This window comes from Homo sapiens, chromosome 3 (assembly GCF_000001405.40).
Source record: "Homo sapiens chromosome 3, GRCh38.p14 Primary Assembly".
Lineage (NCBI taxonomy): Eukaryota > Metazoa > Chordata > Mammalia > Primates > Hominidae > Homo > Homo sapiens.
In genome coordinates, this window is record NC_000003.12 from 100971621 (window position 1) to 100999440 (window position 27820).

Sequence of the window (27820 nt, forward strand, 5' to 3'; positions counted from 1 at the left end):
CACTTTTATGCTCACCACTTGTTCTAGAATTTTTCCCCTTAACTGTCAAAAATGCCTTACATGGGATTATATCCTACAATTGAAATCAAAGCAGCTGGTAAGCACAGAGCTTTATATGTGGTGGGTGTTTAATAGATGCTGATGGAAGTTGGATTTCATTCATCTGCTCATCAAGATGTGTTTTGCTCTTTGTCCCAGCAAAACCACAGCTTTTTAAAAGATCAGGATCAGGAACAAGGTCATTAAAAATATATTTTAAAATGGAAATTAAAACAGAAAGGAGGTGTGAGGATTCTTGCCAGTCCAATCAACATGCAGTTTCTCAGTGGAGGAATCACAGAAATGCGGGCTGAGAAGGGTGTGCCTTCCTAAAAAGGGGCAGGGAGAAGGGCAGCTGGGATGGAATGTCATCCTTCCCTTAAGCACTGGATTCTCACGAACACATATCTGCCACCTGGTAATTTCACCTCACTAGCTCCATGCATCAATGTATTTAGAATCTCTTTTTTATCATAAAGTTAGCATTGCCATTAAAACAACATCTGCATTATATTTTAGAAATAAAACTTACATCATATAAATTAAAGTGAGATAATTGTGTGAAAGTGCTTTTTAAATTAAAAAGCAAAATCAAATTTTTATGTGAAAAACCCCTCTGTACTGAAAGGGATCTGCAAATAAACTAGTGCTAGCAAATATTTATAAAGTACTTTTAAGATGTGAAAATTAATCTCTGGGCCAACAAGAGAAGTGATGGATGACCACTTAGTTTAAAAACGGTCCTACAGGCATCTGCAAATGTGCACTAAAACAACCAGGTTCCAACAAGCCCTTTCCCACTGTAAAGAAACAATGGAGTTATTATTTTTGCCACTTAAGGCTCTCATCAAGATGTTATCTTCATAAGTTAATGCACATTTTTAAAAGTAAATAAACATTTCCATTAGGTTCTCCAGTTTCTCTAATTTGCTTATGGTGTTTGAGGCACAGAGAGTGAAGTATTTAAGTACTGAGATTGATTCATTTTTTTTTCCTGAATGTTTTGGATTTCTTAGCCCCTGGCTGGGGAAAACACCCATGCTAAAACAGCAATAACAGCATCACCACATCCTTTCACATCAACATGCATGATTTATCCTACGGAACAGAAGTAGCAAATAACAGCCAAGCTTCATTATTTTGCAGATTCCACATTTGCAAATGTTTCTACTAATTAACATTGGTTTTTAATCCCAAAATTAATACACAAAGCATTTTCAGACTTATTTGTGGACATGTGAGGAATGGAGAAAAATCTGAGTCACCCAATGTGCATGTTCCTGGCTGAGGTTGAACAAGGTGATGCTCTGCCTTCTTGTTTCAGCTCTCAGACTGTAAACAAGTGTCCTTTTCACAGTTGACATAGCACCACACCTTTCCCATTTTTGTGCTTTTTGTTAGTGACTTCACTGTTTAAGCAGGCCCTAAGTGTGGTGCTGAAGGGCTGTCTGGAGTTTCTGAGCACAAGAAGGCTGTGATGTGCCTTATGGAGCAAAAATGTGAGTTAGATAAGCTTCATTCAGTAATGAGCTCTACTGCTGTTGGCCATGAATTCAATGTTAATGAATCAACAACGTGTATTAAGTAAGGCATCTTTAAACAGAAACACACATAAAACAAAGTTATGTACTGATCCATTGATGAAAATGTTGTGACCAGTGGCTCACAGGAATCCAACTCCATATTTCCCCATAGAAACAACGGTTTGGCTAATTTGGTGTTTCCAGCAACTTTATAAAACATTACTACTGCAAATAATGAGAATCGACTGTATTAAGCTCTGGGTTTTTTCAATGAGAAAAATAAGACCCATGGAAGTTAAATTTTTTCTCCCAAGGTCACCTGTCCAGTTAGAAGCAGAGTAAGGGCTAAAACAGAGGAGTTTTGTTTCCAATCCAGTGATCATTTTTCTGCTTCATTCCTTCTTTCACCAACACTTTCATTATGAATGAAGATAAGGGCAATAATTTCTGCATAACGTGAGATGCTCAGATTTAGCTAGCATTTTCTTCCCCAGAGCACTGTCTTTCAAAGTGTTTAAAGCAGGCTTAATTTGACTCTTGAAGCCTCAAATGGCAAAAACTATATGACAGTTCAATTTAAGTTATAGAATTTTAATGTTTGGCTTACGATGACTCATGAATACAAGATATAGTCAGAACAGGAGACAAGACTAAACTTTTTTGAAAGTTCCCTCTGTGCCAGGCAAATGTAGCCGATTTCCACATATTATCTCATCTGATAAGAAATTAGTATGAGTTTCAGCAAATTAATTTGCCTACTATTATACCTTTTAGACAAGATGCGGTTTCTAAGAAAATGGATCATACATTTTTTTAAAGAAATATGCCTAACAAGTATGCCTAACGAATAGAGATATGGACTCAAAACTTACCTGACTCTTTCCTATTAGCAGCTAAAAATAAAAACACAAAATAAAAAAATCAACAATATCAAGTTCTGGCAAGGATTTGGAGCAATTGAAATCTTCATACCTTGCTATTAAAAAAATGTTGTAGCCACTTAGGAAAAACAGTTTGATGTTTCTTATAAACAAACACTTAATATATGACAAAAAGCAATCTCACTCCTAGATATTTATCCAAGAGAAATAAAAATGTGTGTTCACACAAAGACCTATGTAAGCAAGTGCTTATAGCAGTTTTATTCATATTGGCCCCAAATTAGAAACAACCCTACTGTTGAATTGGTGAATGAGCAAGTGGCTGCATGGCCATATAATGAAATTCTACTCAACCAGTAAAAGGAGCTAACTATTAATACATGCAACAACATGGATATATTATGAAAGAACTGTGCTAAGTGGAAAAAAACGGACAAAAAAAGTTAATATACTTCTATTCATAGAATATTCTGAAAAAGGCAAAACTATAGGGAGAGAAATCAGATCAGTGGTTGCCAGAAACTGGGGGTAGGGGAAGGGATTGACTACAAGGCACAGTGGAACATTCTAGGGAGATGGAAATGCTTTACTTGATTAACATTGACAAATTATAAAAATTTACTGGATTGAACATAGCAATTAGATAGACAAAGGAACTAGAGAAGGGAACTTTTATGGTGTGTTTAAACCTAGAAAGATTTTTGAAAGGTATTTTGTTGCTTATTACCTAGATTAAGATATAACTACAGAAGAATATTTACTAATTATCTGAAAGTAATGTCAAAATAAGTCACGGTTAGCTTTAGAATGTGACATGGAATAACAGGTATCCCAAGACAGGAGCATTCTAGAAAGTGAAACCTGCCCAAGATGCTGTTTGAGATGTTCTCTCTGTAAGAGACAGCAAGCAAGTTGTTTATAGACAGTCTCGGCAAAAAAGCTTGATAAGAAGCTTAGTTATTTGATAAGAAGTTAGTTATTTTGATAAGAAGTTAATTTGATAAGAGGTTAGTTATTTTAATATATTAATCTGAAGATTATTTAATAATTCCATATGTTAGTAATAGTATAGGGATTTTTTTCAAGAGAATTTTTATTATTACTTTGTCTTAGAAAAAAGAGAAGGATATTGCAAAAATCAAAAATGTTTACACTTGGATGTAGATAAAAGCTTTTAATCATTAGAAGATGCTTCCTTGTATTGTCATACTGAAATTCAACTTTAGTAAACAAGATAACAAAATTGAACCTCAAAGCAATATACCTGCGCTTCTAGTAAGGGAGTCCTAGGAGCAAGTGAGTCACTTTAGAAGGGAGCCCCAGCTGTGATCTAGCTGCCTTGGGGGAGATGGGCTGCTAAGGATGAAGGAGCTCCCCATTTCCAAGGACAGGATGGGAAATGGATTATACAATAGTTGGTCTCTAGTCACAGTTGTGACATTTCTAGTGGCACCCTCCCTGTTGGGACGATGCTTTTAGACCTGACTCAATTTTTTTCAGTCCTTCACAAATAGCATTAGCTTCAAAAGCCTGAATGTTTTGCTTGTTTAATTAGGTGTGTGTACTGAGGGTGAATAAAGGAGGGGTAGAAAATAACATGTTTTCACCACCAAAACAATCCTTCCCTGGCAACTATGGGATGCTCTGAGAAGGTCAAGTCCAACTTGCCTTGAATCTGAGTGAAAGCAAGAGACCACAGGGGGCCTTGTGGTTCCCTGAATGATGATACATACTAGTAAATAAAAAAACCCCACCCTGAAATATAAAAAAACCCTCAGAATCCAGAGGGTATTTGGTCTGGGAAGAGGCACTAATCAGAAGACTCCTTGTCCCCTGTGACCTGTATTATCCAAGCAACCCAGATCCTGACTGGCCGAGGAACTGGCCAACTGGATAGAAACTTCTTACCCAATTTTTATGTTTTGTTATATGCTTTCTTAGTAAGGCCTTAGCAACTGGTGATAACGGTCTGTGATTTTTCCTCATAATCATTTTATAAACAATAGTATTTTTGAAGGGAGCAAATGTGTTCAGCTTAAAGCAATAATGGCATCCATTAATGAAGTAAACTATAGGTAAAATATAGAGTTAAAATGTCTTTAATGTTGTGAGAGAGCCCTCATTTATAAATATGCTGCCTGCTTCTTCAAAAATATATTCATATTTATCATGTATTCTGGTTTGGGGTTAGAAAAATTTTCTCACCCTTCACAGAGGGTGCATATAAAATATTCCCTACATAAAGCTTTTTCTTTTTTTGATAAAACACTTCTGGAAATGCCATAAAATTGTGCAGAATGGCAGAGAAGGCGCCCTGTTCAAAGCCTTCCCAATTCTCCTAAGAAAAATAAAACTATTTTTGGAAAGGAATAAAGCCCAGTTCAGCTGTATTCCTTCCTCAGTTTAGCATTTATTACATTGTAGTATCCTGTTTGGTTTGTGTATTCCTCTTGCTAGGATATAAATTCCACCAGGATGGTAACCATTTTTCTTCTTTCTTTATTTATTCTCTCATAATGTTAGATGCATAGAAAATGGTATTTTAATAAGAGATGAGAAATTTCATAATGCCTACCCTGGAGATACAATTACATGAGAATGCCATGGCATAAGTTTCAAGATGGGGTCTAAGCTAAGACCAAGGAGATGAAAGCTTGGCCTGATCCAAGTTTGTCCCAGGAGGCCCATTTGTTCCTCAGGGGAATTCGGGGATGTAGGTCAGCTACGGGGCAGATCTCAGATCTGGCTGTCTTTAAGCTATCTTGGGCACAGGTCGACTCTTCTAAATGATAGCAGGACCAATACAGATCCACACCCTTGGCCTAAGGCCAGTCCTGAGATGGGCTCTGGAATGAAAGACAAGGCCAACTATGAAGGCCTCTGGAGATGTGGTCCTTTAGCTGCTCTAAACTACCAAACATTTTTCTATGAATTTTTTTAAAGGGATAATTATTCATGTATTTTTCCAATCACTCTTTAATCAGCATTTATGCTCAGTTTTTTTGTGGTCCTGGAAAGGTAATTGATCCCAAAATTCTCTTCCCGTGTTTATTTCCAATTTTCTTTTGCCCATAGGCAAAACTACATTTCCAAAGCCATATGCCAACAGATAAGATTATTTACACTTCTCATTCTATTTTTATTCCATTTAAATAGTCCTTTAAAATTAAAAAGGCATCACATATGCTCCCTACATTAATAGTTATCTATTGCTATATAATAAATTAACCCAAAGCTTAGTGGCTTAATCAACAATAAGCATTCATCATCCATACAGTTTCTGTGGATCAGGTACTTGGGAGGAGCTGAACTGGGCAGTCCTGGCTCAGAATCTCTCATGAGGTTGCAGTTAAGATATTGGCCAGGATTACCATCACCTGAAGGCTTGACTGGGGCTGGAAGATGTGCTTCCCAGATGGCTCACTCCGATGGCTAGCAAATTTGTGCTGGATATAGGCACGAAATCTAAGCCCTTCACCTTGTGGACCTCTCCATAGATCTGCGTGAGTGTTTCATGACACATCAGCTGGTTTTCTCCAGATTGGGTGATCCAAGAAAATGAACAAGGTGTAAACTGCAATGTCCTTTATGATTTAGCCTCTGAAAGTTACATATTTTCACTTCACTTTTTCCATATTTAATGAGTACACAGCCCAGCCTTGATTCAGTGTGCAAGGGGACTATATAAGAGCATGAATAACAGCAGGTGAGAATAATTGAGGGCCACCTTGGATACTACCACACTTAAATTTTTTTATACCACATCAAAAGAAATTACATAAAATAAACTGTGTGTTCACATCTTAGTTACAAAGTATGAGATTTTTCATGGACCATCTCGAGGCCCTCTCTGCATGATCTATGCATATGGTAGTAATTCTTCCAGCCCTTCACTTGACCCATCCTAATTCTTGCTTGGTAAAAGGCATCTGTCTAGACAGCTCTTAAGTTTTATCAGCTCTTAGACTTCTTCAAGAAGCTCAATATCCAAAGACCAACACTCCTGAAAATGCACAGACCCACAAGTGTACTAGTCTACATGCAGCTTCAAGGGTTTTATGGCTCCCCTGAGCTTAAGAAAAGAAGCTCTAACCTGCAAGCTACACACACAATGTTTTCAGCTGGCTGCCAAGTGCAAGTGTCATAGCTAATGCTCAACAATAGGCTGATGTCCAATTCTAGCTGAAGGGCTGGCTAGCACTCTGTGTAAGACAAAATGACAGAAAACATTCACATGAAGTATCAAATTCATCTTTAGTGTCACAATTGTGTCTTTCTTCATTGACCTAGTAAAGTAAACTGTCCATACTTTATTGTGAGTTTTCTTGAATTTGGGTTACAGTTAACATATGCCTCTGGTTAATATTAGGCATTAACTTTAATACATATACACAAGTGGAATGACTCCCACTAATAGCTCATAATGTCACAAAAACCTTTCAACTGAAGTTTTAGACATTACTCACCACCAAACAAGGTTATGTCAAGCGAGTGCTGCCCAGGGCTCCAGCTAGCTATGGTAAAAAATAGTTTCTAATTATAAAAGGCAGCCAGCAAGTTCATCTCAAGAACTAGAGGGTATCACTCTATCAGCTAAATTTTTTTCTACAGACATTTATCATATATTCAACAACAGAAAGCACAAATTCTCCAAATTTCTAGAACTAAGTAAATTAGCTAAGTTTATATTATCCACTTTCTTCAAAGTAGTACCCGAGTGCTTTGTACTGATTCTGTAAAGAGATCAGCATTATTTCTCAATGCATGGTTAATCTCATCAGAATCATCAGTGATAGTTGTTTAACATGCAGATTACCAGAACAACTGAATCAGAATCTGATGTGAGTATAGTAAGGGTGGGAGGAGTGAAAGTGGGGGAGGTTAGGGGAGGCAGGATTCTGCATACTTAGCAGATTCACTAAGTCAGTGGTTTCCAAAATGTGATCCCAGGACCAGCATTGCTAGTATCATCTGGGAACTTGTGAGAAACGCAAATTATTCAAACCATCCCACCTCAGATCTACTGAGTCAGAAACTCTGGGGATGGAGCCCAGTGTTCTGAGTTTATCCAGCCCTCTAAGAGATGATGATGCTTGCTAAGCTAGAGGACCACTGCGCTCAGTGATTCTTTGCTTCTCCATATACTGAGAGTGAGAGTCATTATCTCTAGGTTTGTTAAATAGCCATGTTTCAATAAAACAAAGTCAAGTCATAAAATTTCTTTCATATCCATCTAATTATCTTCCACAACCAGGCCTTGTAGATGTAGGATGCAAGTTCATAAATGAAAAAGGGTAGGTGAGAGACTTTAGATTCAGAGCTGACAAACAGAGGTAAATGTTTCTTGCCATTTTTTTTAAAAGAAGATTACTCTCACAAAATAATAAAGTCCCTAGAAAGAGATATCCCTAAAAGGATCTTTACTCTGTTAATGCTTATCCTTTAATGCCTTTTAAATTATCTGATAATTCACAGGAAATTTATTTAGTGTTAACATCTGTGGTCCCTTTGTGGCCTATCAACCTCCAACCATGAAAAGGAATGTTTGAAATGGACTTTTCTGGGACACCACGGAAACCTTACAGATGACATCTGAGCCAGGGGTTATGATGACTTTGGAAAACACCACAGTAAATACTTGTTGTCTTAATTTTCCGGCATAAGTGAAAATAGATGTTTGCACTGAATGGCCAATAAAGAACAAGTATTATATAACGCAATTCAGCTCACAAATTTATGGGATTATAGGACTCAATGCACATTCCTTGTAAACATCTGAGAAAGGCACCTGAGAATATTTGAAAAGGCACTGATATGTTTTTGAAAATTTGTGAAATGGGATTTATTGCCAAGAACATGTGGAGAAGGAATTTTGACTAACCTGTACTATGAAGTATTGTTAATTCTCTAAGTAATCCAATGGTATTTCTTATTAGTCATTCTGGTAACTCAGTTGTAATATCAATATTTAAAATTTGAGTTGTTCACAAAATGGGATAATGTTCAAAATCACTTGTTTTGCTGAAAGACTGTCTATAAAGAATTTTGCAAGTAGGTTATTATACATTAGAGCAAAACCCTAAACCATACTACTGCCAATATGTTGATCATTCAAAAATTCATTGTGTGTCACACCAAATTTAGTCAGTTTGTAGGACTTTCATCTATTTCTTTTTTCTTTTTTTTGAGATGGAGTCTTGCTCTGTCACCCAGGCTGGAGTGTAGGGCATGATCTCTGCTCACTGCAAGGTCTGCCTCCCCGGTTCACGCCATTCTCCCGCCTCAGCCTCCCTTGGTTTTTATTTGTATCACAAGATGAACCAGCACAACAATCCAACATGGCATGCACAGTGCAAACACATACACACCTGGATTTGGAAAGCTCACTGAAATACACATTTTTTTCCAGTATTCACTATTAATATGGGTTATAAAAGTCTAAAAGCCAACAGAACATATAAAGTTACCATAGCAGAGATGATGAGGGTCTTCCAAGCACAAGAATTAGAACCTGAGAAGACACGCAAGTGGGAAAGAAGAGGGTTGTAAACAAAGAGTGAGAGGAAAATTTGGAAGTCATCTATTGAGTATAGCAAAGAAGACAGCCAGCCAGAGAAATGGAGATCAAAGAAAGAGGTTTATATGTTGAAATAGTATTAAATGCCTGCAACTGTGATCTAGTCACCAATTACAGGATCACCATTTCTTGGGCACACTTTACACAGAAACTCAGTTCCATGGAAATATTGGTTACAAGACAAATGAAGAGAAATATGACATTTGAACTCAAGATCCAACTCAAAGATCCACTGGAAAACAGCAGAATTCTCTGCAAGTTCTTCAAAATATCAAACTCCAACTACAATAGAACAAACATCCAGAATAAATTGAAAACCAGCTTTACAAAAGAACACTATAATGTCTGACTGCTATTGTGCATATGTTGTTGCCACCCTTCGAGGGACATAGTGATTTATGTTATAGCCAAAGCCATCTAGGAATGCTATGGTGTGAATATACAGTTATGGTTTGTCTAATCTGATATACACAGAGCTGATCAAATGAATATAAATGTGTGCTTTTCTAAGATTGGTCATGCCAAGATAAATGAACAGGAAGCAATGATATTCTTCAACCAAGTGGAATACTTTGCATGACATAGAAACAACACTTTTGCCTTAAAAAAAAAAATAAAGTGTGCATTGTCTTCCAAAGGATAATTCCTGCTGCATCCAAACAGATGAGGAGTCAGCTGTGAGGCAAGGACATGGGCCAAAGTGGTCAGCAGGAGTGGCTGGGGGTGGAAGCCAGGAGAATGCTCTGAAGACTCTCATCATGTTGAGAGAAGGGAGAAAGAGGAGGGGCAGGAGAAGGAGGATGAAAGTTTAGGAAAGAGAATGATTGGGAACAAAAAGAGGGAGTGCAGAAAAAGAGTCACACAATCAAACCAATCCAGTACCTGCAGACTGACCAGACAGACTGCAGCAGGCATCCAGGAGCAGGCTAAGTCACATGGAATTGCATCCCAAGGATAGGCGGAGAAAAAAATGACCAAAGACCACAACTTGTACTTTCAGATGTTTCACCGTAAAAGACAAATATGCTCTGAGCAGGATCTTCCAGACTCCTTCAGGGAGAGCTGGATGAGAGTACAGGAGTGGGATGCTCATGGCAAGAATTATGTTGAAAACACTCCCAGTGTCCTGGCTCCTCTCTGCCGATCCTGTTTCACTGTGTGGATGCCACACCACAGGCTCAGACACTCTAGACTTTGACACCCAGAAAGGGTGTCTTTCTGCTCAGCACCAGTGTCCAGGCTACTGGAGTATCTAGATCTTTCCATCACTGCCAAGGCAGATGTATTAGTCCATTTTCACACTACTATAAAGAAATACCCAAGATTGGGTAGTTTATAAAGGAAAGAGGTTTAATTGACTCACACTTCTGCATGGCTGGGGAGGCCTCAGGAAACTTAGAATTATGGCAGAAGGGGAAGCAGGCACAACTTACATGGCAGCAGGCAAGAGAGAGAATGTGTGAGAGTGCAGGAAAAACTACCATTTATAAAACCATCATCTCTCCTGAGAACTCACTATCACGAGAACAGCGTGGGAGAAACCACCCCCATGATCCAATCACCTCCCACCAAGTTCCACCCTCCACGTGTGGGGATTATGGGGATTACAATTCGAGACAAGATTTGGGTGGGAACACAGAGCCAAACTATATTGGCAGGTAAAGAGTTTTAAAAATGTACCTGGTCTTCACGTTTGTTTACTTTGGTTAAGAAAGTTACTATCAAAAAAATCCATTAATGCCACCCGAATATTACTTGTTAATGAAAGCTAAAGAGGACTGATACTTTTATTATTTCCTTTTGTTAGAGAAAAAAACCCTAATGTTCAGAAAGGTGAAGCATTAGGTTGGTGCAAAAGTAATTGTGGTTTTTAATGGCAAAAACCACAGTTACTTTTGCACCAACCTAATGACTTACTCGGGCTCACGTGGACTCCTGCACTTTACCCACTAACCCATGGTGCTAATTTTCAGTATTTATCTTTCCAGCTCATAACAAAACTACAAATTAGGTAAACCTGATATGGGAGAGCATGCCCAGAATCATTTTCCTTTTAATTCTTGTAAAAAGGAATAGTTAGGGAAGAATTCTGTGACAGCAGGATCATTAGGGGAGTTTGGAGAGGATGGGCCTGGAGAGGAATGGAGGGACTGTCTTCCAGGTCATCTGATACCTTACTCTAAACTAACTGGCCAGAGTGTCTTAACTTCATCTGGGAAAGTGAAAGGAGAAGGAAATTGTCCTGCATCTCCTGCCGACATAGCTGGAAAAGAACTGAATTCCAGAGCTCGCTGCCAGCATGACTTTGGCAGACACTCCAAGCCCCTCCTTGAACACCAGAATCCGCTGCTCTCAGAGAAGCAAGGCCTGTTAGGTCTCACATGCCCACACACACGTGCACAGTGGCCTCTCAGGAGGACCCTTGGAAAACCAGAATGTTTTCTTATCAGCTAACAGAATGGAAAAATAACAGAATTGTATTTAACGAGAAAGGATATCTGAAGCTCCACCTTGGCATCACCTTGTAAGCAAAGCGCCCCTGTTCAGAGTCTTAGCAAGGTTTCATTCACCACTACTCAGAGAAGAGAGAACTTCCATTACATTAGAGAAACAGTGGAATACATTTTAAATATGTTTCAGATTATAAGACATGCTACATGCTGAAAAATTATCCTTAACATAAAATACAAAAATCAGCTGGAATATATAAATGTGCACAATTAAAGAAATTATTTTCAGTATAATTTATATAACCCGTACTTTCTGAGTATGGAAATCCATTGCATATTTACTTAACTCCTATATTTTGCACTGAAATCATGAGGTGCTTTGTTTTTCTTAACAGATTACATTTGAATTCATTTTTCTTCTTCTTATGTATATCACTTAAAGCCAGTACATGGCAACACAGTGGGATAGCTTAGCTCCTGCAAATGTTGGTTGTTAAATGAGGATAAAGAATTAACACACCAACAGTTTCATATAAAAGTAAATGACTTTTGCGTGGCCAAGTATTTTTAAATAGAACTGATTTCAAACCCCTTAAATGCAGGAAATGTCTTATTCATCTTTGTAATCCTAATACGATGATTAAAAAATATTAATTAAATGACAAAATGAATAAATGTAAGTCCATTCTTAAAAATCACAGTCACAGCTCCTCAGATCTGGCTTCTGAGAGTAGCACTTATGTTCTAACACTAAAACCAAATGCTCATCTCAATTTTACACATTTACTTATTTTATATAGCTTCAGGAGGGAGTCTGAAAATTTTTTCAAACAATGTTTTAAAATCCTGGAGCAAAGCAGCATAAAAGTAAAAATCACTTTTAAATTTACAGAAATCAAAACTTAAATAGTAGAAAAACGTACTTGCAACCTTTAAATTTTACTCTGTACTCATCAAGAAAGATTTATTTATCAAGCACTTATACATACAAATTGTCAAAAAGCTCCAAATCAGTAGTTCTTAACCCTGGCCATATTAGAATCACCTGAGGAGTTAAAAAAAAAAAAATCCCACCCTAGACCAATTTAAAATAAATTTGTTGGGGAGGCAGAGCATTACTGATATTTTTGAAAACTTTACTATTCTCATGTGCATCCAGGATTAAATATATTGGGCTATAGCCTGTATTGGGATATACATTATAGTATTTATAGTCATAGGTAAACTTATTAAATGAAGAAAATATTGAATTGCTATGTCATAGGTGAGATGTGACTTAGGCCTCAATTTTCTCTAAAATTAATTTCTAGTGTGACCAGAAGATGCTTGAAGTGGGTGAATTTGCCCTGGTTTTCTAATGGTTGGGCTTTCAAAGTATGATCCTTGACTGGAGAATGATGACAAATCTTCTATGAAAATGCCACATCTTCTAGCTCCTTCTTTAGAATTCCACAGAAAGGAACATTAGCTGATTTCATAGCATGTGTACTGACAGGCCTTAAATGTTCATCAAAATCACTGTAAATATATGTCAAGGCTTTAGTAGGTGAGGGAAACCTACAACACACTATAACAATCTTGCTGTGGAAGGCTCTTGGTGGGAAACCCAAGCTAATATTATACGGAGTAGAATAAGTACTGATTTAGTCTTGCTGTCCACAGAACTTTGCCAAAGTAGTCTGAGAACCTTGAAGCCAGCCTTTCCTACCATGTGCCTCCTGCACTTTCGGGGCCTTCCCAACACAAGAGAAGACTGTACACTAGAGAAGAGACCCACAGGGTATCTAGTATTAAACAGTCTATGAGAGTCTGAGTGTCATGGTTAGAATATTTTCTGTGTACAACCTAAATTTTCTTTCCTGAGAGCATATGGAAAAATTGTTTTATTAACACTAAATAGGATCTGAGAGAAACTCCTCTGGTTTTTCTAGTTGCTTCCATCACATCCACTGATAAAAGTATATTTTCTTTCTCTACACACAAGTTTAATTAGACCTACAGTAACTTCCATTTACTCTAAAAGCAACTCCACTGAAGTTTCAGAAAAGCACTTTTTTTTTTTTTTTTTTTTTTTTTGGAGACAGAGTCTTGCTCTGTCGCCCAGGCTGGAGTGCAGTGCTGCGATCTCAGCTCACTGTCACCTCTGCCTCCCGGGTTCAAGCGATTCTCCTGCCTCAGCCTCCCGAGTAGCTGTGACTATGGGCACGTGCCACCATGCCCGGCTAATTTTTTGTATTTTTAGTAGAGACAGGGTTTCACCATGTTAGCCAGGATGGTCTCGATCCCCTGACCTCGTGATCCGCCCGCCTTGGCCTCCCAAAGTGCTGGGATTACAGGCATGAGCCACCATGCCTGGCCAGAAAAGCACATTTTTATCAGGACTGTATCATCAGGTTCATAGGTGTTCATTACCTACTATGTTAATTTTTTTCTTATGTTTTTGTCGTTTCCTTTAAGAGATGGTGTCAGGGATAAAAGCGTTTTTTCTATTTTGGAGGAATTTTGTGTGCCTCTGTACATGGTATCAACCACATTTGATGGACCACAGAGGAAACCAGCAAAGGAATCTAGGCATTGACTGGGATCCTGTATACAGAAAACAAGGTCCATATTGGGTGCTGAATATTTACTTGGTACTCTTAAGATATTTATCTCAATTCTCAGAGATTTCTTATAATTAACCTCAAGCACTGAGGGAGACAAATTAGCAGTTTGCCAATGTTGGCATCTGCCACAAAATGCTTAATTCTTTAGGAAGTTGACGGAGTTTTAATGCTTAAACCAGTATATTATCTGGAGTTAGATTTCCCATATTCATAGTTTCACTATATCACTTGCTACCAGCCATTGAGCTCTTTGTGGTGGATAGACTCTTACATAATCTGAGGTATACAATCAACTTGTATGGTAAACCTGTGAGTTGCTTCTAACCAGTAGAATATGGCAGAAGTGATGGGTTGTCACTTCTGTGATTCAGCTACATAAGGTTGTGACCTCCATCTTACCAGCAGACTCTCCTGGGCTTGTACATTTTGATGAAGCAAGTGGCCATAATAGAAAGGCCTATGAGGCAGAGACCTGCAGCAACCTCAGGCCAATAGCCAGTGAGAAAATGAGGCCCTTTGACCAATGATCCTCAAGGAATTGAATTCTGCTAACAACCATGTGAGCTTGGAAGTAAATCCTTCTTCATGCAAACCTTCAGATCAGACCTCACCTCTGGCCAGTACCTTCACTGTTGCCTTGTGAGACATCTTGAAGGAGAGGAGAGTCTGCCCAGCTAAACCAGGCTCAGACTCCTAACTCACAGCAACTGTGAAATAATAAATGTGTGTTGATAATTTTGTGGACATTTGTTATAAGAAAAAGATAACTAACATACTCTTTTTTTTTTGAAATGGAGTCTTGCTCTGTTGCACATGTTGGAGTGCAGTGGCACAATCTCAGCTCACTGCAACCTCCGCCTCCTGGGCTCAAGTAATTCTCATGCCTTAACCTTCTGAGTAGCTGGGATTACAGGTACCTGTCATTACACCTGGCTAATTTTTGTATTTTTAGTGGAGATGGGGTTTCACCGTGTTGACTAGGCTGGTCTTGAACTCTTGACCTCAAGTAATCTGCTCACCTCGGCCTTCCAAAGTGCTGGGATTACACTAATATACTCTTTAAACTTAATTTCTTATCTGTGAAATGGAGCTAATAATAATATATATTTCACATGTTTATAAACACTTAGCATTAAATATCATGCCTGATACACAGTAATATGGTTATCATCTTTTAAAATGTTATTTTAATTGAATATATGTATATCAATTATTGTTTTTCTATATTATGTTTAGCATGTTCCTTCTTTAGCTGATACTATTTATTTTTACTTTTTGGTGGTCATTTTAACAAATGTATTCTTATTTGACTAGTAATCTCTCTAGATAACTAGATAATCTAGATAATCACATTAGAGTATCCTATTTCTTAATTTTATGTTTATTCTGAGATCAATTTTATTAAATTCACCTATTTACTTTCAATATTGTCTTGTTTATACCTACTGTTATAAATTGCAATCAGGGAACAGCAAAAGGCAAATTTTTTCTGAGGGTGGTGATCCAGATAGAGTGATTGGTCCCATCTCCTGAATGGCATTCCCTTCATTAAACACCTCACTTATGTCTTTAAAAAGCCTTCTGTAAACTCACATTAGCCTATAACATTTTAACTGTCTTTGCTATAATATTATATTGATGAATTCTTCTATTTTCAGGTGTTCCCCTGTGTCCCCTCTCTTTCTTGAAGGGAGACAGGGGAAGATAGTAAAAATTCTTAACAGTATCTTATAGCCCAATATAGCAGTCTATAAAACTAAACTAGTGAATGTATAATTAACACAAGAAAACTTTATTTTTTTAAACCTCAGGTTCTAAATTTAGCATCAGGACAAATTATATTTGGTCAGTTTTTACCTTTGTAATATAAGGTTCTTTTATAGCAGGGGCTGTATCTCATTCAGTTTACCTAGTAGATGCTTAATAATCTGGGCTTGATGTGTTGACTATTGATTATTAAGGATTATTAACAGTCAATTAAAGATTATTGTGGAAAATTTTTATGCAGCAATAGATAGCTAACATACTCTTTAAGCTTAGTTCTTCATCTGTGAAATGGAGATAATAATATTTCACAGGTGTGAGGATAAAATGAGATAATTTACATAAACACAGCATTAAACACCATTGATATGTAACATGATGATTATTAGTATACTTTTAAGAATTATTAAGGACTACTGATAATCTTTAATAATTGATAGACAAACACATCAATAAAACTGTCAAGAAAATTTAGAACTGTAAAAGATGCTAAAATAATTTCTTGCTTGGTGGTTTTTAAGCTTCTTTTTAGCAGCAGAACCATTTTTTTCTAACGTACTGTTTAATACAGTCCCAGCAATACATAAATATATGTTACTCAAATAAAAGCAGAACCACACCAAGTAGGCTTTGCACTCCTCACCAGTATCCTGTGTTCCATAACTTAAGATGGACGAGATCCTCTGCAGCCTCCCATAAGCATCAACCACCTCTTGGAGAAGTGGACTGAGCTGTTGGAGTGACACATTCTTGTTTTGTCAAAGTGAGGTTGGAAGGGCTCCATGGAGAGCCAGCTGCCAGGTGAGCAGCTGGAAAGTTGACAGAGCAAGGTGTAAGAGCCTTCCTCTCCAAAGACAACATTTTATTTCCTCTTTGTAATCAATCATGAGGAGTCAGGCCAGATAGAGACAAGGAGAGCACAGTTACATCTTGTATGGTTTTTTTCAGTCTAGGCTTCCCTCTCAGTACTTTAACACTCACTGAGCTTTGGCCCCTGGGGTTGCCTGGGCTCTGGGCCAGCAGCTACCTTTGTTGAGAAAGCCCCTCACCTCTCAGCAATCCTTCTCCTTGTCTCAACTTGTGTTTGTACTCAAGACCTCTATTTGGGTTTCTTATTCTCTCATAATTCTTCATACCTCCCATCCAGATTGGATCCTTTTTTTCTCAAAATGCTTTGTGCTTCACCCACACTGAAGGATGACCCCTCTCTATTGTAATTATCCCTTTCCACACCAGTCCCTTATCTTCTCCACAAGCTGGTCAGCTCCCTGAAGACAAGTGCCAAGCTTTGTCTCCCCAGCCTCAGTGCTCTGTGTATACATCCAATATAATTTGTTACTTGAATGAATTAATGTATCTTTACATAGAGCAGGGAACTAATATTGCATCAAAATTAAAGGTATAGTCATTTGCCACTTTCTAGCTATATTACTTGGAGTAAATTACTTAAACACTCTGAGGCACAATTTTATGCTCTGTAAAATGGGAATAATAGGTTTACCTGCTTCATAGGTACTATAGTCTGAATGTGTTCCCTCCAAAATTCAGGTGTTGCCAGTGCGATAGTATTAGGAGCTGAGACCTTTAAGAGGTGATTAGGCCATGAGGACTCCTTCCCTGTGAATGGGATTGGGTGCCCTTATAAAAAGTCTTATGGAGGAAATTTATCCTTTTCTTGCCTTTCTGCCTTCCACCATGTGAGGATGCAGCAAGAAGGCCCTCACCAGATGCCAGCACTTTGATCATGGACTTCCCAGCTTCCAGAACCGTGAAAAATAAACTTCTGTTCTTTGCAAATTACCTAGTCTCAGGTATTTTGTCACAGAAGCACGAAACAGACAAAGACAATGGAGGAGCTTCAATAATTTAATTAGGTTTTCCACATTAAAATATGAAGCACTAAATTACCACATGCAGGATATACTCAAAGAATGTTACCTGTGATAATAATAATGGTAATAGTTATTAATAGCTATGGCAGTTACTGTTATGATTATCATCTGCTCTGTGTTTTGTTCCTAAAGTCAGAGATTTCTACTCTGTTAGGTAAGAACCCAAAGCAAAGAGCCAGCTGCCTCTTCCCTCTGCCATATCCCAAGAGTCACACCCAAGATCCTCATGCCCTCTGGCCATCAGATTACACTTGTATCTTGGAGGTTCCTCTGTGGTTTTTCTCACACTTGCTTAAAAATAATAGCCATTGCCTTTGGGCTAATTACAATCTTCTGTATACTGGAGTTTCCATGCAGAGGTGTGTCAAGGGCCTGCTCTCCCACTATAAGATTTTGTTGGCTCCTTTCATTACATATTGTTCTCACTGGTTTTTATTTTAGCCTGTTTGCCAGGAAAAGAAAAAAGGCCAATGGTGCCAAGAATAAAGATTCTGAGAGGTAGCTGGAGCACAGGGGCTTCCAAAGGTATAAAACAATGTGAAAATTCTTCTCTAGTATGGTCTAATTCACCTCCTGAGAAACAAGCTTAACAGGAGCTCACCTGAAGAGTCTATGACATCTTACAAATCCCTGTGGAAAAGCTGATCTTAGAGCAAAGGTGCAGCTTTCCACAGGGTAATGTTGGCCATATGGGCAGACAATGGTCAGGCTAGAATGCGGTAGAAGCCTCCCTTGTTGCCACGTAGAACAACACTGCAGTCCTTTACCCCATCTTTCTGCCAAGTTCACACCACCTCATCTCCTACCTTACAAGAGATTTGTCTTACATTTTGAATACAAGATCATGTGTTATTCGGTGTGCATGTTTTTCAACATTGATCCCCTTTTCTATGACCCAATAAGGATTTATTGAAAATCTGTTATGTGCCAGACTTGTGTCTCTTATCTCATTTAATCCTAAAATACTATGAGATAGTTATCATTAGTCCCATTTTACCAATGAGAAAACTGAGGCTAACAAAAATAAATAATTTGACAAAACTATAGTCATTTAGTGGTGGGGAGGAGAAAAGCTCCATTAATAGTCTCCAAGCTTTTAAAAACTAAGCAAAAATCTTCTAATAACTTACTTTTTATAACAAAGTATGTGACTAGGTATGCAAATAGGCACACCACATATAACAACTGACTTCTTATAAATAACTATATATGGTTATATATATATAATTTTGTATATATAATATATATATAAAATATGTACATAAAAATGTAGATATGTTCTTAGGAAGAAAAGTTAAAATTAAAATACTGTTAAAGAAATTTACAAGAAACTCTTTTATTCAAGGAATAGGTAGCATTCACATGTACACTACAGAATGTCATTCCTAAGGCTGGGGTCAGAGGAACCTGCCTATCTGGCAGGAGGCAGGTTAGAACATGGATTTTGAATGAGAAGCTAGGTATCAAGTCCTGGCTCCACCATTAACATGGGAAAGTTACTGAATCTGCCCTGCTTTGGGGTATCTTCATTTGTAAAATAAATGGTTATGTTAGGTCAGTGGTTTCCAAATATTGGCCTGTGATCAATTTTTCATTAGTCTGTGGGAAAATGAGAAAAATAACAATGGACTTATTTATGAAATTAAATTTATTTATTGTATAAATCTGTTAAAATTGTTTACTTTTATGAACACTAGACATTCTCCCCTGTTCCCTTTGAGCATCCTCACATAGCAAAATTCAAGTATGCTCTCTATAACAGGACCCTGATGTTAAAATATTTGTGTATTTTTGTTGGTCCATAAATCCAAAGGTCTGGGAATCACTAGACTAAGTGATCATGAATATCTTTTCTAGCTCCAGAATTCTAACCACTTCTTAAGTCACAAATAGTATTTAACCAACTCTAAAGTAGAAGGAAGAACAAAAGTAAAAACTTTTACTCTTTTTTCTTCTTTTTTAACTCAACATTTCCCCAAATGTGTCCTGTGACAGACAAACCCCTGTTAAGATATTATAGATCTTCTATGGAAAAGAGGATTCTTAGTCAAATGAGTGTGAGAAACAAAAAGTTGTACAGGTTTCTTTATTGAGAATGTGCAAACTGCTAACACTTATTGTGATTCCCCCCTTAAAGACTCCACAAGTTATTGACAGGAATCAGCTGCCCTTCCACCCTCACCCCAAACTCTACCCATTGTAGGACAAACAGTGCACCTATGCCTGGAGCACAGTTTGAAAAAGATGACTTCAGCTAAAAGGTCCTCAATAGCTTTCCAATAAAGAAAAAACATAATATTAAAAACAAGACTTGCCATTTCTTTTATCATTATTATAATTTGATGTTTTTTTCCAAATTACCAAAACTACAAATATTTTTTAAATAAACAACAAAAGTTTTGTGGCCATTTTCGACAACTATGTTTTTTTTTCTTTCCCATTATAAATAAAGAAAAATTGTGTCAAGAGATTTGTGTCTAGTGATTGCAACACGATAATTAAAGCACTGGGATTGTCCAGAAGTTTGCAGTAACAAAGTTGCACCTATATCATCCCTATGCAATGAATAAAAAGTAAAATAAAAGTCTTCTGTAGGTATTAAGACTGAGAAAACCCCCAGACTCTTCTCAAATGATATGTTACTGTTAAATATTCCATTAGTAGGTACAATTAACTCTGAATGCTTGTGGCTCATAATTGATTTATTTAAATCACAGTTTTATTGTGATCAAGGAGCAAAACTCTTGGTAGAAAAAGATCTAAGAGTGCTTGTTTTTTATTTTTCTTTAATTATTTGATCAGAGTTGAGAAAGTTTACTTAGTCTTTTTTATTGCTGTTCACATTATCGTGTGAAATATCAACTAGCCAACCGCTTCAGCCTTCACATGCTGGATTCAAGTTTCACTTTACCCACCGAGGAAAGAACAGTTTTCACTTGGGACAAGATGATCCTGGGGCAGACTACCCAGAGAGAGGACCTAGGGATGATCTTTTGGATATTCTGACACTAGCAACCTTTCTTTCTGACTTTAGGCACACCAGGTTCTTGACAAGCCTGCAGCTCTGCATTACTTCTGATGTTTTCCATCATGACTGTATGGTAAATTCCAGCCTGTTTTTCACAATCCTGCTGACTACAGCAGTCTGCAACCATAAAAAGCCTTCACAGACCTAGAGTTGGCTTAGAGAAGTGCCTCTGCAGAGAAACAAAAGTACATGCAACATTTATGTTCAGAGACAGGAGAGAGGCAACAGCCTCTTGTTTTGGTTTCTGATGGGCTCAAAGGGTTGTTTTTAGGGTCAAAATTTAGAAATTTTAATTTTCTTCTGATAACATTTGTAAACAAAATACCAACACTAAAATGAGAGCAATTTAGCCAAGAAAGGGGGGAGTGTCCTGTCCAACAGCTCAAGCCCTCTTCCAAACTCCACTGGAGGGACGTGTCTGCAAATCAGCACATGACCGTACTTTGGTCTGACCTGCCTAGACTCCCTCAGCTTCCTGGTCAACAGGTATGTTTGAGGTTCACACCAAAGATTCAAGGTTTCAGAACCAGCTTCTTTTGAATCTTAAGCTAGTACTGATTCAGTCTCTGGGGAGGAGGATAAAAACACCAAACAACTCTTTCTAACAGACTATAATATCCATTTACACAATATGATTCAATACACAAGCACTATAGTTAGAAAGTATACAGTTCAAGCTCTGATGAACAGCTGCTCAATGTAATAAGTTTGTTTTCATTTTTGCAATAAAGAGCTGTAATTGAAAAGTAAATAACAGGAGGGGAAAGTAAAAGTTTAAGAGACCCCTTCACACATTTGAACTTTGAATCTCTGCAGAATAACTCTATTCCCCCCGTATGGTAAAGCAGATCATATTTAAAATCAACATTTAAAAACATCTATATCTTAATATTATTTTTAAAACATAAAACATCAGGCTACTTGCCTTTTGGCAATTTCTGTGCATTTCCCAGGGCTAGTGTAATACTTCCACAGAGAAGTAGACACCCCAAACTGGAGAGCATGTTGCATTTGCCACCTCGCATGGGGAATGATGCTGGTGGGTGCCTCGCAACCCTGGAGCTGCATTTAAGTGGACTGTCTCCCAGTGACAGAGGCGGGCGGCTGCACTTAGCTGTGCCGTGGGCTTACTCACAGGGGGTGGAGACAAGATGACATCACACCCTTTCCCACACACACCAAAAAAAAAAAAAAAAAAGCACAACAGCAAAAACATATCATCACATTTCTTTCTTTCTGCTAAGTTGTAACTGTGTCTCTTCCTTCTGTGATATAAAAATTCAAATTATGGCAGATCTGTATTTGTGAAAGAAGAAGTATTTAGGCAGTTTTGAAACATTTGATAAACTATTTTAAAGAATCCAGAAACAATGTACTAAAAGCTATCAAAATGTTAAAAATATAAAATAAAACCTTATTAAGAAGGAAACTTTTTAATTATCCAGTAAACCAACCCAATTCTTTTAAATGGGAGTAAACTCATAAAGATATATTTTGAGCCATTCTGTAGTTCCTGTATTATGAGAAACATTTAAGAGTAAGTCTTTGGCTACAAAGCTATACATTACGTTATAATATATATGTGTATACACATATATTCAACAGATGTAGATGTAGAGACGTAGAGAGAGCACTATTACTATGTGAGCCTCAACTGTGGACTGAGTTCTGTAATCGAGTCTTTACCTACTTTACTGTATTTTAATCTTCCCAGTGCCTCTGCAGGAGATATGGCATTATCCCCATTTTGCCATTAAGAAAAGCTGAGGAAAAAAGGTTAAGTGTCCTGACAATGCTAGTATATTCTACTGCTTAATAACGGATGCCACTTACTAATGAATTGTCCTTGAGCAAACTTCATCTCTATATTATCAATATTGATGACATTTAAATGCTTGCTCCGTGTTAGGCACTGATCGAATCAGTTTACACATGTTAAGACATTTATTCCTCAAAACGGTCTATGAGGCAGGCATTGTCATCATCCCCATTTTACAGATAGATAAACTGGGCACAGAGAGGTCAAGTGAAAGTCCAAGGTCACAGTGTTGGCATTTTAAGCAGCCCATTTAACTATAGTGCTTCCAGTCTTAATTACTACATTTTAGATTCTAAAATAAAGATGACAGTATCAATTTCTTACATTTGCTAGCAGTTTTTCGAAAGTAGTTGCCATAGAGCCTGACACACAGGAAACATTTACTAAATGGCAGTCACTGGAAACAATAATAATGAAAATGATAAGCCCCCAGTTAAGTAGAACTATAATTCTAACCTGGGCATATTTACCTCTGAAGTCCACATGTGTATCCTTTCCCCCTACATCACTTTGGTCAAAATATATAGACGCATGGGTGGAATGGCTGGGTTAATAAAGCACTTTAAACCTTGTTGGTATATTTATACTGACTCTTTGAAAATCGCTTACCTCATTGGGGTGCTGTAGCTGAACCAAAAACAGTAAGAGAAAAATTAAATAACACTGGTCAAATGAAATTCTAGTTAGAAAACTTATCAAAAAGAAAAAAGAAGAAAAAATGGAAGAGACAGCCCCGTCTTCCAAATAAAGTGTGAGAAGGCACCTTGTTAAAGTCATTTAGAGTTGGCTGGGTCTAAGCTCTCACCATAGGAATGCTCTGGCAGTGACTACAGGAGGCACTGGCTTATTTAACAGGTCTTTTTCATCTCTGATTTTTTACTTGAATAAGCAGTTCCCTCAATCGGGGTTAGGACATTTATCCAGCTGGCACTGCTGGTTCTGCTCCTATATGTCATTGCCATCACATTAAGCCAGTGAGACCACTGTGTTAGCAGGAAATGACAGGTTTTCTGAGGGGAACAAACCCAGCAGAAATATTGTAAAGAAGGCTGGTTCTTCAAAACATTTATGAGGGGCTGGTGCAAGAGTTAGGAATTGACCTCTGCTTGGCCAGCAGGAATTCAGGAATTGGCCTCTGCATGGCCAGCAGGCAAAGTCAAATCCACCTTAGCAATCATTATTTGCAGTTTTGCAACTGACTGTAGGCTAATTAAATGAAGCACAATCTCTAATTATTGTGTCAGAAATAAAAAATGGTTGCATTATCTTAGCTAGTAGGACACTTGAACATTCAGTGAGGATGTTGAAAGTATTAGGGCTCTCCTCAGACTAGGGAGGAGTAACACTACAGAAAGCAACTGTGCCTCTTTTGCTACTGTCTCTAGTGCCTAGAATATAAGAATACAATAAGTACATGATGAGTAAGTGTCAAATGAAACAGAATTCATCAATTCCTCCCAATAACCTAAGGGTTAGTTCTAGATTATGTCAGAGAACACTTGAGTATGACCTAGAATGTGCAGTTGTTGGGAGATAATTTTGCAAGGGTAACTAATGTTTCCGCACATCCTATGAGCAGAGGCACTAACTCCCTATGTTCCAGAATATCTTGTAAAGAATATTTGCACATAAAATATCCTTGGAAGATAGAAATTTGTGTTCTGTTCCATATAATAAAGGTAACATCTCCCTCTGGGGCAATGTGAATACATGATCACTTCCCATTATAAAATATTTAAGTTCTCTAAGCTTGTCATTCCTCTTCTGTAAAACAACCCATGGCATGTGTACATATCACCTGTACCTCTTTGTGTTGTCCTGTGAGAATTTGGGCTCCTAGAACTAGTGCAAATGCTGATATTCAGGCTACTGCTATTGCTGTAATAAACTGTCCTTTCCTTTGTCTTTGACCCAGGTGTTTTGTGTCTCCTGCCAGCCTCTATGAACTGCATGTTAGCTTGCAGATAGGATAAAAATCTCAGATCTTTCACAGTTCTTGAAAATAGTATTGGCCCGCGTTAAAATATTTTATTAAATCATGCTTTAGTATAGTGCATTTTGTGTAATACCTACACTGAAGTCTATTATAAGAATCAGCCATGAAACCCCCTATTGTACATAGTAAGAGTGTTGCTAGACATTGCTTACTACATCATATAGTACCTCCTAAAAAATAACAACCCTGGAGAAAACGTCTGACTGCTGTGTCAAATATGAAAAGTTGTGGCTATTTTTCCAGAGCAACTGTATTTATTTTTTGACATTGTAACCAGGTTTCTCTTTCTGTGTTGACTGGTAGAAAATTAGAGCCAAATACATCCCCCACCCATATTAAGTGTATAGGTCTTTGTGATGTGCATTCTTTGACATCATTCTTGGCTTTATTTTTCGTCCCCACCCTTATTTCTTGCTTATTTTACTTGGAGTCTTAATTTATGTGATTTTGTAAGTTGTTTTAATTTGTTTCTGGAGCAAGGTGAGGTAAAACAAACAAACCCCACACACAGAAGTTGTGTCAAAAAACATGTGTCACAAGCTATAAAGTGGGCATCTGGGAACCTGTTCTTTTTCCTTTTCTATGCAACCGTAGACTGATAGAATTTTGGTACAATGATTGTATGGCATTTTTTTAAGAATACTTTCTCCTTGGGGAAGTCAGTGAAATCCACGAGATTAGAAGACATCTAGACCACTGCTCAAATAAGTGTCATAGTTTTCAGTCATGTCATGTTTGATTTTTTTTTTTTTTTTTTTTGAGACAGAGTCTCGCTCTGTCGCCCAGGCTGGAGTGCAGTGGCGTGATCTCGGCTCACTGCAAGCTTTGCCTCGCAGGTTCACGCCATTCTCCTGCCTCAGCCTCCCGAGTAGCTGGGACTACAGGCACCCGCCACCACGCCTGGCCAATTCATGCTTGATTTTTTTAAGGGCTCAACGTTAATTTCATTATTTCAAATGAGACTTCTATTAAAACTCATACATCTTTCAAATCTTGGAAGTCAACTTTGTGCAGTCATTTAACCTATTTGTCCATATTTTTAGTCTCTGTAAAGTATTATGCTAGGAGATTTTTAAAAGGCTTGCATGTATGCAATTAATATTTGAAGCTATGCTGTGGTTTTTCTAAGGGATGCTAATAAAAATAATTTTAATATGACTTATTTGAAATGGGAAACCCAGTGTTCCATGTTTTCATCCCAAATCTTTTTTCTTTAATCACTTTCCTGAATTAGACCCATGATCCAATTGGACAAGTGTCCTGCTCCAGTGGAGGTACATTTGGCCAGAGCATGAAGTTCTCTTCCACAATTCTTTTTATAGCACAGAGATGTACTGCCCCTTAAACACCTAAGTGATATTTGCAGGTTATTCTTCAATTTGTCTAAGGCATCTTGACCTCTAAATTTTTGGCTTCATAACCTTGAGTTAATTAGCAACTTGTACTTATAAAACAGTGTGAAGGATCTATTCATCTAGAAACAAGCTTCTTTAAGACCTAAGTTGTATATCTCTAAGCTGTGAAATTTGCTTTCCTTGTTTTATCTACATTCTGCTTTCTTCATGGAGATGCTGAGTACCTAGCTGAACTTGTGCAGGTGAAGGGAATTTTTTTTAACTTAAGCTTCAAATAATGTAAGAATTGATGGAGTCAAGAGCTGAGTGAGAAACATAAGTTAGTAAACTAGAGAAGGAACTCTGAACAGGAGGATATGCCAGAGGAGGATCCTGAAAGTTAGAGTACTGCATCAGGGAGGCTGACAGCCTGGGGCATGCAAGTACGCAGCAGCATGTTGAACGAGTAGTTGTCTGGTGGTCCTGGGAACATACCTAGGACCGTGCAAATTCAACTAATGTGCACATCTTTGAGATGTGGGAGGAAACATGAGGACCCAGAGAAAACCCACGCAGACATGGAAAGAACGTCAAACTTTACATAGTGGCACCAGTTATGAAACAATTTTATTCCAGGAACTGCTGTACATAATTTGGTGAGTTTTAACACTTGTCTTGGCACATGTGTTTACCGGGGAAATCCTCACCGTAATCATGACAATAAACATATCCCTCACTTCCTAGAGAATTCTTGTGTCCCTTTTCAATCTCACCCTTTTCCCTCTCGGTGCCTACCACATGATGCCTCACAACCACTGATCTGCTTTCTAGTACAATGCACTTCACTGCATTTTCTAGAATTTTACATAAATGAAATCATGCAGTATGTACTCTATTACTGACCAGCTTCTTTCACTCATCATGGTTATAATTAGATTCACTTATGGACATTTGGGCTATTGCCAGTTTGGGCTCTTACAAATAAGGCTGCAATGAACATTTGTATATATGTCTTTGGATGGATGGATGGATTTTATTTGTCTTGGATAAATATCCAATATTCCAAGTAGAGTGGACTACCTAATCGGGTGTATGTTTAAATTTTTAAGAAACTACCAAACCCATTTCCAAAGTGGCTGTGCAATTCTATCTTCACACCTATAGTACATGGAGGTTCCAGTTCCTCCATGTCTTCAACATTTGCATGTCAGACATTTTAATTTTTGCCATTCTTACAGGTATGTAGTGCCAGATTTGGGGTTAATTTGCATTTTCCTAATGGCAAATGACGATAAACATGTTTTCAGGTCTTTTTTGCCATTCGCTTATTTATTTTTTTTTAGTAAGGTGTCTGTTCAAAAGTCTTTTTTCCACTTTTGAGGGAGGAGTTTGTTTGTTTCTTTATAATAGAGTTTTGTGAGCCCTTTACATACTCTGAACTTAGGTTTTTTTTAAATCAGATATATACTTTGCAAATATTTCCTCCCTATCATGGCTTGTTTTTTATTCCTTCAGCAGTCTCTTTTGAGGTGCACAGTTCTTAATTTAGATAATGTCTGATTTGTCCTACTTTTTTGTTATAGATTTTACTTTTGGTGTCATAGCTAAAAATCCTTTGCCAAATCCAAAGGCATGAAAATATTCTAAGTTTTATATTTAAATCTGTGAGCCATCCTGAGTTGATTTTTGCATACAGTGCATGGTATGAATCCGAATCCAAGTTCTTTTTTCTTTCTTTTTTTTTTTTTTTTTTTACATACAGACACCCAACTGGGCTAATATCATTTCCTGAAAACACTATCCTTTCCCCACTGAATTAATTTTGCACCCTCATCAAAAATCAATTGTGCATATACATGTGGGTTTTTTTCTGGAGTCTCTATTATGTCCCATTTCTCTATTTGTCTATCT

The 27820-nt window shown here is 37.5% G+C and overlaps 1 protein-coding gene across 57 annotated transcripts in view, besides 1 other annotated feature; it reads right to left on the minus strand.

Annotated features, from left to right (window-relative positions):
* ABI3BP (ABI family member 3 binding protein) overlaps positions 1 to 21801 on the minus strand; it is a 244266-nt gene extending 222465 nt beyond the window's left edge. For all 57 annotated transcript variants that reach the window (XM_006713572.4, NM_001377332.1, XM_047447926.1 and 54 more), the window contains exon 1: positions 21686 to 21801. In XM_006713572.4, coding sequence (XP_006713635.1) covers positions 21686 to 21785 — 100 coding nt within the window. In that variant the 5' untranslated portion in view covers positions 21786 to 21801. The remainder of the gene's footprint in view (positions 1 to 21685) is intronic.
* Positions 11025 to 11319: a silencer, noted in NCBI's record as "tiled region #13899; K562 Repressive non-DNase unmatched - State 24:Quies". NCBI's record gives its function as "represses a minimal TATA promoter and a strong SV40 promoter by Sharpr-MPRA in K562 cells {active_cell/tissue: K562}" and the evidence as "EXISTENCE:reporter gene assay evidence [ECO:0000049][PMID:27701403]".
* Positions 21802 to 27820: the final 6019 nt, after the last annotated feature.